This window comes from Homo sapiens, chromosome 7, assembly GCF_000001405.40.
Source record: "Homo sapiens chromosome 7, GRCh38.p14 Primary Assembly".
In the NCBI taxonomy this organism is placed as follows: Eukaryota; Metazoa; Chordata; class Mammalia; order Primates; family Hominidae; genus Homo; species Homo sapiens.
The window spans coordinates 141,588,925-141,603,599 of record NC_000007.14 but is presented as its reverse complement, the minus strand read 5'-3'; the positions used below and the strand labels follow the sequence as shown (position 1 = coordinate 141,603,599).

The following is a 14,675-nucleotide window of genomic DNA, read 5'->3' as shown; positions in this document are numbered from 1 at the left end:
AGTCAAGTCAAAAGATGAGAAAATGGGCTTTACAATATCCTGCTTTCATGCTTTTATCAACAATACATCTAAAATCTCAGGAGAGAAAAAAGATAAAAATAAAGGGATATAAAAATGATACCAGGCAAAAACTAAAAATAAGCAAGCTAGTATAAATTACCAATAGTACTAGATAAGATAGACTATCACAAAAGGCAGTATTTGTGCTAAAAATAGTTATTCTATGACAGGGTCGAAATGTAAGAAAAATGAAATAATCTGAAACTTTAGTGCATCTAATGACCTAAGTCTCAAAATACAAAATGCAAAAATGGACAAATCTATGTAGTGAAATAGACAAATCCACAATTACAGTGGGAGATTTCTAATACCCCCTCTTGAGAATTTATATAGTTAAAACAGAAGAAAAAATCAGTAAGGACATAGAAGATTTGAACCCACACAATTAACAGACTTGACTTAATGAACATATATAGAATATAGTGCCCAATAACTGATATATACTATTTTTAGGCATAGATACAACATTTATGAAAACAGAGCACATGTTAGACCATAAAACAAATTTCAACAAACTTTAAAATACTAGAATTTTATAGACTACATTTTTTGGCCAAAATGCAATTAAGTCTGAAATCATTAACAAAGACAATCAGAAAAACTTTAGATTTGGAAATTCAAAAACACATAGATCAAGAAAAATCACAAGGAAAATTTGAAAATATTTAAAAATAAATAATAAAAATATTATGCATCAAAAAGTATAGGATGCAGCTGAAGCAGTAGAGTGGATCTGTAGCTTAAATACATACAATAAGAAAGGAAGGTAAAAATGAAATAAGCAATGAAGTTAAAATGTCAGAAAAAGCACAGCAGAAAAATTTTTTTAAAAAGTAGAATGAATGAAACAATAAAAAAAGATCAGAAATGAATGAAACATATAAATGAGAGGATCAATAAGCCAAAAAACGGTTCTTGGCAAGGGCTAAATTGACAAACCTCTCACAAGATTACTGAGGGGAAAAAGAGAGGGTACAAATAAACAATATTGAGAATGAAAATGAGACATTACATATGCTATAGAAATTTAAAAGTTAAATAGAAGATATTATGAACAACCTGATGTCAATTAATTTGAAAATTTAGATGAAACAAATTCCTTGAAGAATTTACCTTACAAAAATTAAGTGAAGAATGAAACCTGAGTACTTCTAGAACTGTTAAAGAAATTTAATGTACATTAAAAATTTAAAAAAGGTAAAAAAGGCTGGGCATGGTAGCTTACACCTATAATCCCAGTACTTTGGGAAGCCAAGGTGGGGGGGATCACTTGAGTCCAGGAGTTCAAGACCAGCCTTGGCAACATAGTGAGCTCCTGTCTCTACATACACACACACACACACACACACACACACACACACACACAAGAAAATCTCCCCTCAAGGAAAGCTCCAGATCCAGATGGTTTTAGCTGTGAGTTTCACCAATCATTGAAGAAACAAACATCAGTCTCACATAACCATACTTGGGTCTCTCATACCTGCCACATTACAGGTACTCAAATATGTTAGTTTTCTTCCCCTTTCTCCTACCCCCGGGGGCAAACAACTGGAAAATCATGACAGAAAAGTTGGAAAAGAGGGTTCAACATTGCATGGTAAACTAGACTAAATGATCCTTTTTAACTTCTATGATTTCCTGGAAGTGTACAATATTAGAAATTGGTCAACAGACTTATAACCACAGTAAGAGAGGTTTTCACTATATACACATGTATGTACTTACCCACATATATCTCATTTAAAATTCAACAAGTAGAGTCCTGCATCTTCGAAATAGTACAATTCCTTGTAATTTATGCTTGCCTCCTTTTCTTCTTAACTAAATCTCACAAATTCTAAAGCTTTACCATTTAAAATTCTTCACCAAAGATAATTCCTTACCAGAGAGAAAATGGTTTACCTGTTTGTGGAACTACTAAGAAATTAAATTAATTACTCAGACTTGAAGGTTGTGTATTTTCAGGAAAAGAATTCTTACAGCTATAACAACTTTCATCTTCCAAGAGATGTAATTCCACATCCTATCTCTCAGATGAAAGGTGTCAAGTTCTCCAAGCCTCCATCCAATCCTATTCTGAAAATGAAAAGCTGACACTATTTGGAAAAAAACAAAACTACATTTATTAATTGTCAGAACAGGATACAACATTAATTTCTTTGCTCTTGTGACAAGCAATTTTTGCTAAGAAGCCAAGAGAAGAGGTTGTTATAAGAGGCAGCTGCTTGGGTGAAATAAACATTCAGGAGCCATTCTTACCTTAACAATAGTCACATCCATGCCAGATAAATGTAAAATCGGGGCAGCATTTTTTTCAAATAGAGTCCTGGCTTTTCTGTTAACAAAGGAAAAAATATAAACATTTTAACACAGGTTATCAAGAGCAAGAACAAAAAGCCTTACAATCTTCTTCAGGGCAGAATAAGAAAGACTATGCAATACGGGTTTCCTTTATTTGTTCAAGCACAGAAAGTTTAACAACAAGTAATGAGTTAATATGAATGGAAAAATAGAACCTTAAACTCTGGGGCCTTTGAGAATTTGCTGTTTATCTAATGCAATAAGCTCTTATCCATTTGGGAGGCTTATAGTTCACAAAGTAGTTCCTCTAGGGGAAGAACGAACACTAGATATGGTTCCATTCAGGCAACAATGCTTGATTCACTCAAGTATTCATTGAGCACCTACTGTGTGATAGACACAGGTGGAGGAGCTAGGAATACAACATAACAAAGCAGACCAAACTACTAATTCACCAGAAGCTAGTCTGAAACTCCCAGGCACAGTCATGCCCTCTCTGTGCTCCCCTAGTACCTTATACACATCTCTGTTAGTGACTTTCATACTGTATGGTGATTAGAGACTTCCAAGACTGTTGTCAGGACTAGACTGGAAGCGTTCTAAAAATAAATACCAAATCTTATTAATCCTTGAATCCCCTGACCTCTAGGATTATGTATGGCACAATTAGAAAGTACTTACTAAGTATCTGATGAATTAATGCACAAACGAATGAATAAACCTGCCCCAAATGTAGACATGTAAATTCTGAGGAAAAGGAAACAACACGATGTCTTATAAGAAGAGAAAAAACAGCCTTCAAAGAGTTTGCATATTTCAAAAGTATTATGCATATCATTCTGACAGTGAACTCTTGTCCAATTCAGGTCAGAATTCAAAAACACAGTCTAGGAATCCAGGGACACAGAAGTTGCAAAACAATCTCTTCCACCAATGGCATAGTCTCAAAGTCAAACTAATGTTAAAACATACCAATTAGTTGACCTTTTACTCAAATATTTCAACTATTACATAAGGAAAAAAAAATCCAGTACTTTCAATCAATGTCAAACACCTAACTTTTATATCCACATTTACTCAGTCCTCTGTCTTATTTTTAAACTAAGGCTGTATCCTTTGACCTTAAGGATACTTTATACAAGAATTTAAGGATATTTTATAGAAGAGACATTTTATATTCAGCTACAAAGGCAGCTAATGAGGAACACGTATAGTTATGCACAGGCCAAGCTCAATATTCTTTAAACTAAAAAGAACCACCAAATGGCATATAGAACACAAATCACTTCTTATTGTGAATTAAAATAGAAATTGAGAGGCTTGCACAAATTTTCACAAGAACCATCCAAAAGAATATCTCAAACCAAGGGCCTGAGTGTATTATAAGCAAATTAAATATTTTCTACCTTTCTACTGCTCTGAATGATTATTAGAATGAACATAAAAGGGTAAATGATAATTTCTCCTTTCCAGCTCACCATTTCTGGGGGCTTAACCCAACATTAAAGCACTGAGCTAGTGGTACTGCAAACAATTCTCCTTCCAGGGTTGCTTTCATTACTAGATTGATAGGAAAGGATCAGTTGGAAGTGGATCAGATCTATTTCCTAAAAGCAAAATTCTGAAGAAGTCTCAATCTGCCATATCAATCACAACAAATCTGTAACCTCCTCTGAGTTAGTTTAAGAAATCAGGTTAGAATATTTGGGTCTTTATTCACATCTTTATATGATGTTATAAGTTCAGAAAACCTCTAAAATGAAGGTGAAGACTTTTTTCCTTCTAATTTTCTATATAAAAGATTGAAAAACAAGTGTTACTAATAAGAAATAAATTATTTATTACATAATTAAGGGTGAGATAACACCGAGGCTAAATAAAAACCTTAGGTACTTTTAGCAATTTCCAGACTCAGGCACATACAAAAAATAATTACTCTTTTATGTATTATTTATTAATGCTAAACACACAGTTATCTTATTTCTTAAAGCTCTTATGTAGTTTTAAACCAGTACTACATAATGAAATAGCTACATGATAAATTATAAATTATGTGTCAGGACAGAGCTATGATGACAAAAATAGTGCAATTAAATAGTGAAAGCTTTTAAAAGAAAAAAAGAAAGGATGCTGGAGAGTTTCAGACTTTCCCAGAAGCACGCAGGGATTCTTCACCTTGTTAAAGGAGACAACACCTTTAGAAAAGACTTTCCTTCAGTGGCAGTATTTTAGCTTACCTTTAGATAAAGATGTTATAGTTTTAAACAAGAATCTACCTTTAAAAATGCAAATATATTTACATGTAAAAAGACCCTAAAATTGCTCTGAAAAATTTGCTTATTAATTTTAAAAATGTAGATACCTCTTAGAAGCAGGAACTCAAAATAACTGGTTATTGCTTAAACAAATTGCCATAAGTTTCATCAGAAATTAGCAGGTTGTTAATTTATTAGGTCTCTAAAGGAATAGAAGAGTTACACTGAAGTAGGTCGAAGGAGAGGTACAAGAGCTTCTGGGAAGGATGGGATAGCGAAGTGAAGACTGTTCTGAACCTAACCCATAGTCAAGAGTAACAATTTCAGCAGTTTATATTTCTTACATTGTGTGCTTATTATGAAATGGAAATAGTGCCTAATAAGCATTATCTCATTTAATACCAAAGGTCCCTATTCCACATAATAATTTTTAAAGTATGTACTATTGCCTTTCTGATTTTACAGATGAGTAAACTGGGGATTTAAGAAGTGAATTAACTCCCACAATATCATAGAGCTAGTAAGTGGCAAAACAGTAAACAGACCAGATTCCTCAAACTCCCAGACCCAGGCTGAGTTCTCTGTTATCTTCAGCCACGGGCCACCACTGACAATTTACTTATCTTAGGTATTTTGACTGTGTTATATTAGGGCTTGTTGATTTGTTGGCATGATTTAGTATTGATATTAAACAAAAATGATCAATAGGCATTATGACTGGTGCGTTTATGGGGGAGGGAAGCGGCTCTAACAAAGCCCAGCAGATATGATTCAGTTAGGCAGAATAGTCTGTTTAGACAATCTGAATTAAACCACTGAATTACAAAGAAATAAAGCAGGATGTGTCCTCCTGTCTGTGAAGTCACACTCACTGCCTCTCAAGAAATGACTAGAAAAACTGACTTCAGAGACCCTGTGTTTTACTCCAGACAACATTATGCCTACCACTTACAATTCAGCCCAAACTATCTTTCTTGTTGTTGTTCTTATTACCTTAATGTCACTTGACTTAGATCTTATAGAATCCAATTTAATACATATTTACTAATTTTCTTTCTTCTTTCTTTTTTTTTTTTTTTTTTTTTTTTTTTTTGAGACAGAGTCTCACTCTATTGCCCAGGCTGGACTGCAGTTGCGCGATCATGGCTCACTACAGCCTCGACCTCCTGGGCTTAGGTGATCCTCCCACCTCAGCCTCCCAAGTAGCTGCAACTACAGGTAAATGCTACCACGTGTGTCTAATTTTTGCATTTTTTCAGCTAATTTTTGTATTTTTGTAGAGACAGAGTTTCACCATGTTACCCAGGCTGGTCTCAAACTCCTGGGCTCAAGTGATCTGCCCACCTCAGGCTCTCAAAGTGCTGCGATTACAGGCGTGAACCACTGCACCCAAACTGCTAATTTTCTGATTCCCAAAAAGCCAAAAAGAATTGTTCTCGACATTAGGGACATAAGAGATATCACTTTTTAACACTCAACCCTTTAATTCTGACTATTTTTTCAAAATAAAATGTTAATTATTTATTCTAAAGCCATCAAGGTCTTTGTATTCACCTTTCCAATTGAATAATAGTTACATCTAACATTGTAAAAAAAAGTTTTGCCTATTTATTTTTCCTTAACAGACTTTGAGTCTCCACACACCCACTCCCCACCCCCACATACAGCCTCTCCACGTTTTAGTGTGGTTCATTTGTATAATCAATGAACTGCCATGATCAAATCATTATATACCCAAGTCTCAACAATTCTTCACACCTTAATTCCCACAATTCCCACATGACATTTCCAGGCCAGCCAGTTCAGTTAAAGGCTGTCCTGTGTCATAACAAAGCCATAACTAGGTCACTCCTGTCTCCAGGCCCCTGTCCCATGGGCTGTTTCCTCAGCTGAGAAGAATGGGTAGTCTTCTCCTGCCTGCTTCCTCCCAGGTCTAGCTCAAGGATCATCTCTTTTGGAAAGAACATTTCTGATCTCCCAAGCCCACAGTATTCTTGGCCATTTCTGAACATCCTGTGGACAGAGATGGCCTAAGGATTTACGTCCTAGCAGTACAGCAGTCGCTCCCGAGGGGACTACTTCCAAGCAAATAAGACATCTTTGTAGGTGTTAATCATGGAATGATTATTAAACTTCAATTAGACAAGTTTGCTAAGCATCCATTAGTTTTATAGTTATTTCTCATTTAACTGTTATTTCTACATTACAAATGAATCTTATTGCTAGAAGAGTACTAAACCTAGTTCTTCCAATTCCACACAATCTCACTAGCTGCCTGATAGTCTGTGATTTCTTTCCCCCTTAGAAAAAGCAAGTATATAACAAGTCACAAACGGAACTACCCTTTGCAAGCTGCAGGATTGAGAAAAACAGTGGCCTTCTTCACTTGTGCATTGGGAGGAATGAGTTGATTGCCAAACACCTAAAAAAGAAAAGAGCAAAGTTTTCAGTAAAAGTCCATTTATTTGGTAAATGTCACATGTATTCTTTCATTCCAAAAAAAATGTACTTGCAGCACATAAGGTATCTACCCTTGGGGAAAAATATTCTTTCATGATCTCATATTAACGAAAACACCATCAACAACAACAAAAAGTAACATTATTTAATGACAATAAGCTGTATTTTGTATTGGAATAAAAAAATCCTGCTTTATCTACTAGAGGCAAATAACATTTATTTTCTCTATAAGATATAGCTAGGTTTATTATAACATATAATTAGTAAGGCCATAGTCTGTCAGGAGAGAAGTTTAATCTATGTCTTTAGTTTTCAGAGTACAATATTCTTTCCAGCTCATTACTAAAATTTGTTCATGAAGAATCTTTGTGTTACCAGTTAATCTTCATATGTTTACACACATACAAAATAAACCGAATACTCTATTTGCCTTCTCTTCTTTGCAACCCTGTATGATAACTAAATAGCAGCAACTGGCAGGGGAAAAGAAACATAACTAATATATACCAAGCACCTTTTATTTGACATTTTTACACACATTATTCTTAGTTCTCAGAAACCAAGGAGGTATAAAATAATCTCAGTTTTCCAGATTAGAAAGTCCAGAATCAGGAAGATTAAGTTCCTGAAAGTCACAGAGTTGATCAATTACAAGCCTGGAATACACATCTTCTAATTCCAAAGCCTCTCTAAGCTCTAAAGAGAGGATCAAGGATGAGGTAGAATTAAAAGGCAGAGGACTAGATGTGAGGAGTCCAAATGAGAAATGAATGGGAACTCTTGCTATTATGTCTGAATTGGAAATGATGTCAACAAAAAGAATAGGAAAGTACCAAAATGGGCAAAAATTGGGGTCTTGAATGGTGGGAGGTGGCCTGAACCAACAAAGCAGAATTCTAGTATGGAAGTACAAAGTAAAGATAGGAGGAGGAAAAAAAGTAATGCAAATATTTTTTATTGAATAACTTACTCTAAATCTGCTATCTCCCTGACAGTTCATTTTGGAGCCTTTCTTATTATTGTCTATTGCTTGCTTTAAAAACAAAAACAAAAACAAAAATACTTTTTTTCTGAAGTAGAGAAAAAGACAGACTATTTCTTTGTAAGAAGTTTCTGGAACATTATAATTTCTATTCTGTTTTCATTCTTACTTAGACTTTAACATTTTGCTGCTAAATCTCCAAATACTGTAATTTTTCCTTTTTCTATCTATACTATTTCTGGAATGTGGCAGAAATGATATCACTAACCATTCTCTCTGGCCTATCAGATTCCACACCTATGGTAGTAAGATTATTCCTCCTTGCCCTCATTTCTTAGTGTCTAAAGTTGGTACCTACTTGCAAATCAAATCTCAGATTCACAGTGAGCTAAGGAGTTTATGTGAGACTACATTAAGTTTATGTGAGATTTGTTATTAAATATCATGTTTTCAAGAATTTAGACTGTAAAAGGAAGTACACAGATAGGAAAATTAGCCAGCTGAGGCTATAAGGACAGATCCACTTCCATTTGTGAGATGGAAGGAACTAAACATGCAGGGGAAGTGGAGAATTAGAATAGAAAGAAATAAGGCCAGGCAAGGTGGCTCACACCTGTAATTGCAGCACTTTGGGAGGCCAAGGCGAGTGGATCACAAGGTCAGGAGTTCGAGACCAGCCTGACCAACATGGTGAAACCCCGTCTCTACTAAAAATACAAAAATTAGCCAGGCTTGGTGGCATGTGCCTGTAATTCCAGCTACTCAGGAGGCTGAGGCAAGAGAATCACTTGAACCTGGGAGGCGGAGGTTGCAGTGAGCTGAGATTGTGCCATTGCACTCCAGCCTGGGCAACAGGGCGAGACTCGTCTAAAAAAAGAAAGAAAGAAAGAAAGAAATACATGAGAAGGAGAAAATAACTAAAGGAACATCATCCCTGAAAAAGTATGAGGAGAGAGAATTTAGAACAGAGGTGGAGGCATTTACTTTCAACAAGAAAGGGAGGGCCCTACAATCACACAGGTCTACTCTTCCTTAAAGAGAGAAAGAAAGGGGCCAGGTGTGGTGGCTCACACCTGTAATCCCAGCACTTTGGGAGACCAAGGCAGGTGGAACACGAGGTTGAGATGGAGACCATCCTGGCCAACATGGAGAACCCCTATCTCTACTAAAAATACAAAAATTAGCTGGACATGGTGGTGTGTGCCTGTAGTCCCAGCTACTCAAGAGGCTGAGGCAGGAGAATCGCTTGAACCCAGGAGGCAGAGGTTGCAGTGAGCCAACATCACACCACTGTACTCCAGGAAGATTTTCCAGTCGCTAATGATTGGCTTGGGACGGGGATCACCTTTAATTTAATATTAAAGTTTATTTGAATTGATTTCCAAAACAACTTAGAGCCATATGAAAGATAATACATTTAAACAAAGAAGTAATCAAATTCGTAAAACACAGGTTTAGAACAGCTAGATAACAATCGCTAAAAAGAGGAATTATAGTATATACTGTAACAACTGCTAAAGAGAGGAATTAATTTATAGTATCTATTGTAACAATCGCTAAAGAGAGGAATTAATTTATAGTATCTATTCTCACTGTCATCCATTAAAACATTTCAGAAACAAACATGAGGTCTGCCACCTATTTTTATTACTAAATGCTTCACACATTTGCCACTTTTGATTTTCATGTTTCTATTTTGGTATTTCTGACATCATAAGCTCAAATGATATAAAACAAAAAGGCAACTCAGTCTCAGAATTTCATCTGCAAGGTATAATGCACATTTTTGCAGTGGGGGGGCAAAAATGCTGTCTTATATTTGAAAGGACAAATATTATAATCCAGCTATAATTAGCCATATAAATGAATATTTAAGTAAAATCTCATGGAATATAACAGTGTACATGATATGGATCAGTTGAACTTGGAGATGAGCTTTAAAAATATGAATCAACAATTTTAAGAAGATTTGACTTTTAGAGGTAACACTTGCTCTGAACTGATATCCTTGGGGGTTATTCAGATCAGGGATGATTCAGGGGTTAGACAAATCTACAAAGACAACTGCAGACACAAACAAATTCCCAGAGCTTCTACCAGTCCAGTTCTGTGTTCTTGGGACCAATCCAGAAACAAACAGTCTATAGGGGTGGGCGTCAGAACTGCTCTTCACCAGATGGTTAACTTCCTGGAGTTCTACTCAGAGTTGGCTCCCAGCGTGATTCATCCTGATAGTGCTAAAAAATAGCCAGACTGCACAGATGCAAGACACTGTGCAAGTCCCCTGAAAGAGCTTAAGTTTTCTGCACAATGAAGATAAGGAGGGGCTTAATTTTATCACATTAAGTAGTATTACCTGAGCTTCTTGACAGGCTGCTCTCCTTAGGAGGTTATCACTATCAAAGTAAGCAAAAGAGAATAATCATTAGCTTTAATAGATTATGATCCAAACAAAATTTGTGAGCTTTTTAATTTTTTAATATAGGCACCTCTTCTCTAAAAACACCCCAGTGAAAGTTCCTTAAAAACCTGATAACAGGCCGGGCATGGTGGCTCACGCCTGTAATCCCAGCACTTTGGGAGGCTGAGGTGGGCAGATCACCTGAGGTCAGGAGTTCGAGACCAGCCTGGCCAACATGGTGAAACCTCCTCTCTACCAAAAATACAAAAATTAGCCGGGCATGGTGGTGGGTGCCTGTAATCCCAACTACTCGGGAGACTGGGGCAGGAGAATCGCTTGAACCTGGGAGGCAGAGGTTGCAGTGAGCTGAGATCATGCCATTGCACTCCAGCCCGGGCGACAGAGCGAGACTCTGCTGAAAAAAACAAAAAACAAAAAAACAAAAAAAACCTGATAACAACTTATCATCACATTTGAAAAATACATCCTCCGAATAAAAGTCTGTGTTAAATATTTCCATATTATGGTAACCAGAATAATGCCACATCCCCCCAAAATTTCCACATCCGAATCCTCAGAACTTGAGGATATGTTACTTTACATGGCAAGAGGGATTTTACAGACATGATTCAACTTAGGACCCTGACATGGGAGATCGTCCTGGATCATCCAAGATGGGCCCAATCTAACCACAAAGGTCCCAAAACAGAGAGTTTCGTGGTTGTGATCAGAGGCAGACGTGATTATGGAAGAATGGTCAGAAAAATGCAACTTTGCCAGCTGCGAAGATGGAAGAAGGCTCTGAAGAGAGTCAAGGAATGTGGTGGCCTCTAGAAGCTGGAAAAGCAAAAGGATTCTCCCCTAGAGCCTCCAGAAGGAACATAGCCCTTGCCACACTTTGTCTTAGCCCAGTGAGAGCTGCTTTGGGCCTCTAATTCACAGAATGCAAGACAAGAAATTTGTGGTGTGTTGAACCACTAAATTTGTGGTAATTTGTTAAGGTAACAACAGAAAACTAATATACATATCCTGCATTTTTCTTACCCAGTGGAAATTAGGTCATTTGCCACAAGTAAATTTGATATTAAGTTTCTTCTGCTACTGTCTTATCTAAATCACTTGTTTTTTATATCACTGTCAGACAATAAATCATAAATGGAGAATTTTGTCATGAGGCAAAATTTTGGCTTCCAAAAATGAAAGCATTCTGTCAGAATGTGATCACCTATTTAACGTCAAGGTCTCTAAAATAGGTTTCTACCATAAAAGCATTTTAAATGGCTCCAGTCACCTCCGGGGCTCCAGAATCTTCATCTAAGAGCTTGTGCTAATGCACATTGCTGGCACTGCTAAGATAGTAACTTCAATGTGGTTAACAAAAGTTAAGAAATCAAATACCCAGAAAAGATGAACAATAACCAATTTATAGAAAAACTTGAAAAAAGGTTATTTTGCTTATATTCTCTTTCTAGACTTTTTTTATAACATTGAAAACTTTAAATTTTGCATTTTCACAGGAATTCAAAAGGCAACAGGCTCTTCTGGGTGATTTGACATTTACAGTGAATGAAAAACAATAAGCAAGCTTTGCTTTTTGCCAGAGTTGCTGTCAAAGGCTGCTGCTCAGTGATTCCATAGCCAGGCTGCAAAACAACCCCTGAAGTTCACAAAGCAGGCGGCTTCACTAAGAGAACACCATCCACAGGGAAGTATGGACGCTGTGAATCTGAAATCTGAAACCTAAGAACCGCAGGGCACAGTGGCTCACACCTGTAATCTTAGCACTTTGGGAGGACAAGGTGGGCAGATCACTTGAGGTCAGGAGTTCGTGACCAGCCTGGCCAACATGGTGAGACCCCGTCTCTACTAAAAATATAAAAATTAGCCGGGCATGCTGGTGCATGCCTGTAATCCCAACTACTCGGGAGGCTGAGGCAGGAGAATTGCCTGAACCCGGGAGGTGGAGGTTGCATTGAGCCAAGATCACGCCATTGCGCTCCAGCCTGGGGCTACAGAGTGAGACTCTGTCTCAAAAAAAAAAAAAAAAAAAAAAAAAAACAACTTAAGAACCATGTTTTACTGAAATTATCATGACATCAGTACCCCAAAAGCTGATGTTGTTTGATAACAAAGATTTTCAGGAGACTCACCCCTTGTGAAATCCAGCACAAGTCAGCCCAGTCCCCATTGGCTTAAGTGACTCTGCTCCCCTGTGCCCAGGTGGCAAAGAGCGTTGTGCAACCTTCTCTTCCTCCACACCCAGTATTCACAAATATTCATGTTTTTTTGAATGACCCACAGGAAATAACACATATTCATGTTTCACTTTTCTTCTTGCGTCCCTCCCAATCAAATGCTCTCACTGAATCATTCTAACATCAGTAACAACAACAAAAATATACAAGATGAGGTAAATTCAGGGTAGAAACTAGCGAAATATCTTGAAAATAATTAACATGTCACTAACTCCTTATAGCTTACTGGATACTTTGCATTTATGACCTTATATACAATAAAGAGGTAAAACACTGAACCCACAGTAACCTCTGGATAACAAAATAATATGAGGTTCCTCATAGTAACCTGGGCATTGTCACTGACCCTCCCCCTGGACTGTGCTGACCCCTAGTCCAACTTGCACAGGCCCTGGGAACGCAGCTTCCAGCCTCTCCGGACTGTGCTCCCACCGGCCACTGCTTTCAATGCTTTCCTTTAGTAGACTAATTACCTTGTACCTCCAATCTCTCCTAAAAACTCGCCCTGTGGATTTTTTCTGCACAAGCCCTCTATGCTTCTGTAAAAGCTACAATCCCATCTCTATATCCTGCCCATTTCCAGGCTCCTCCTCTACTATGAAGGACAGGTCTCCAAAAGGCAACAGGCTCCTCTGGGCTATTAATAAAGAACATTACCCTTGCCACAACTCAGGCACACTGATTTCCATGGACCTAGCTGAAAAGACAATAGCCCTGAATATGCACAAGAATATGGGGTAGCACCTTAGATCATTTTTTTCCCTAAGTTCTTTGTTGCTAGAAGTAAAATTCTGATTATTAGCTTGTGATTAAATATATTATTAAAGATTTCAGCTCTCCTGAGTTTATTAATTTTGATTAATTTATCAGAATGCTATTCAAAATAAAAAGATTTTGTGATAGTTAATTCCCTGAATTTAATGTGCCAAATGGAATATCCTGTCAATGCCACCTGTGAGAGAGCCAGAATATGTTCCAATTTTGATATTACAAAAGAAGATCTCATTATAATCATACTTAACTTTGGGTCTGGCACAGTGACTCATGCTTGTAATCCCAGCACTTTGGGATGCCGAGATGGGCGGATCACCTGAGGTCGGGAGTTCGAGACCAGCTTGACCAACATGGTGAAACCCCGTCTCTACTAAAAATACAAAATTATCCAGGCATGGTGGCACATGCCTATAATCCCAGCTACTTGGGAGGCTGAGGCAGGAGAATCGCTTGAAGCCAGGAGGCGGAGGTTGCAATGAGCCGAGAACGCGTCATGGCACTCCAGCCTGGGCAACAAGAGCGAAACTCCATCTCAAAAAAAAAAAAAATCATACTTAACTTTGTTTAATATCAAAAATGGTGTTAACCATCTTGATCTTGCTATCTGAACCCGACTATTCCTAAAAATCAAACACATCCTCAAAGAAAAAAGATTTCTCCCATTGAGATAGTCTGATGATCTATAGCAAGCTCTGAAAACTATCTCAGCAAAGAAATTCCAAAAATATTTCAGTAATATCAGCATTGTCAGAATAAAAGACAAAACTTAAAATTCATAGAGCAACTACCTTGTACCAAGTACTATGGCAGTTGTTTTCATAAACCTTTAATCTTTGTAACAACCTTGCAAGGTAGGCATTATCAGGTAACAGAAAATATTCTCATTTTACATATTAGGAAGCCAAGACTCAGAGAAGGAAAGTGACGTGCCCAAAAACACAGAGTTACTAAGTGGTAAGTGTCAGAGGCATTTGAACCAGAGTGACTCCATCTTGAGTAGGGGCTGGGTAAAAAGAGGCTGAGACCTACTGGGCTGCATTCCCAGGAGGTAGGGCATTCTAAGTCACAGGATGAGATAGGAGGGCGGCATATGATATAGCTGATAAAGACCTTGCTGATAAAACAACCTTCAGTGAAGACACCAACGAAAATCCACCAAAACCAAGATGGCGATGAGAGTGATCTCT

General features: G+C 37.3%; 1 protein-coding gene across 4 annotated transcripts in view; it reads right to left on the bottom strand.

Moving 5' to 3' along the window:
• The window catches only part of AGK (acylglycerol kinase), a 103,835-nt gene that overhangs the window by 51,645 nt on the left and 37,515 nt on the right, over window positions 1-14,675 (bottom strand). For all 4 annotated transcript variants that reach the window (XM_024446835.2, NM_018238.4, NM_001364948.3 and 1 more), the window contains exons 3-5: window positions 10,415-10,454; window positions 6,959-7,038; window positions 2,320-2,395 (exon numbers count right to left, since the gene is read on the bottom strand). In XM_024446835.2, the coding sequence (XP_024302603.1) occupies window positions 2,320-2,395; window positions 6,959-7,038; window positions 10,415-10,454 (196 nt within the window). The remainder of the gene's footprint in view (window positions 1-2,319; window positions 2,396-6,958; window positions 7,039-10,414; window positions 10,455-14,675) is intronic.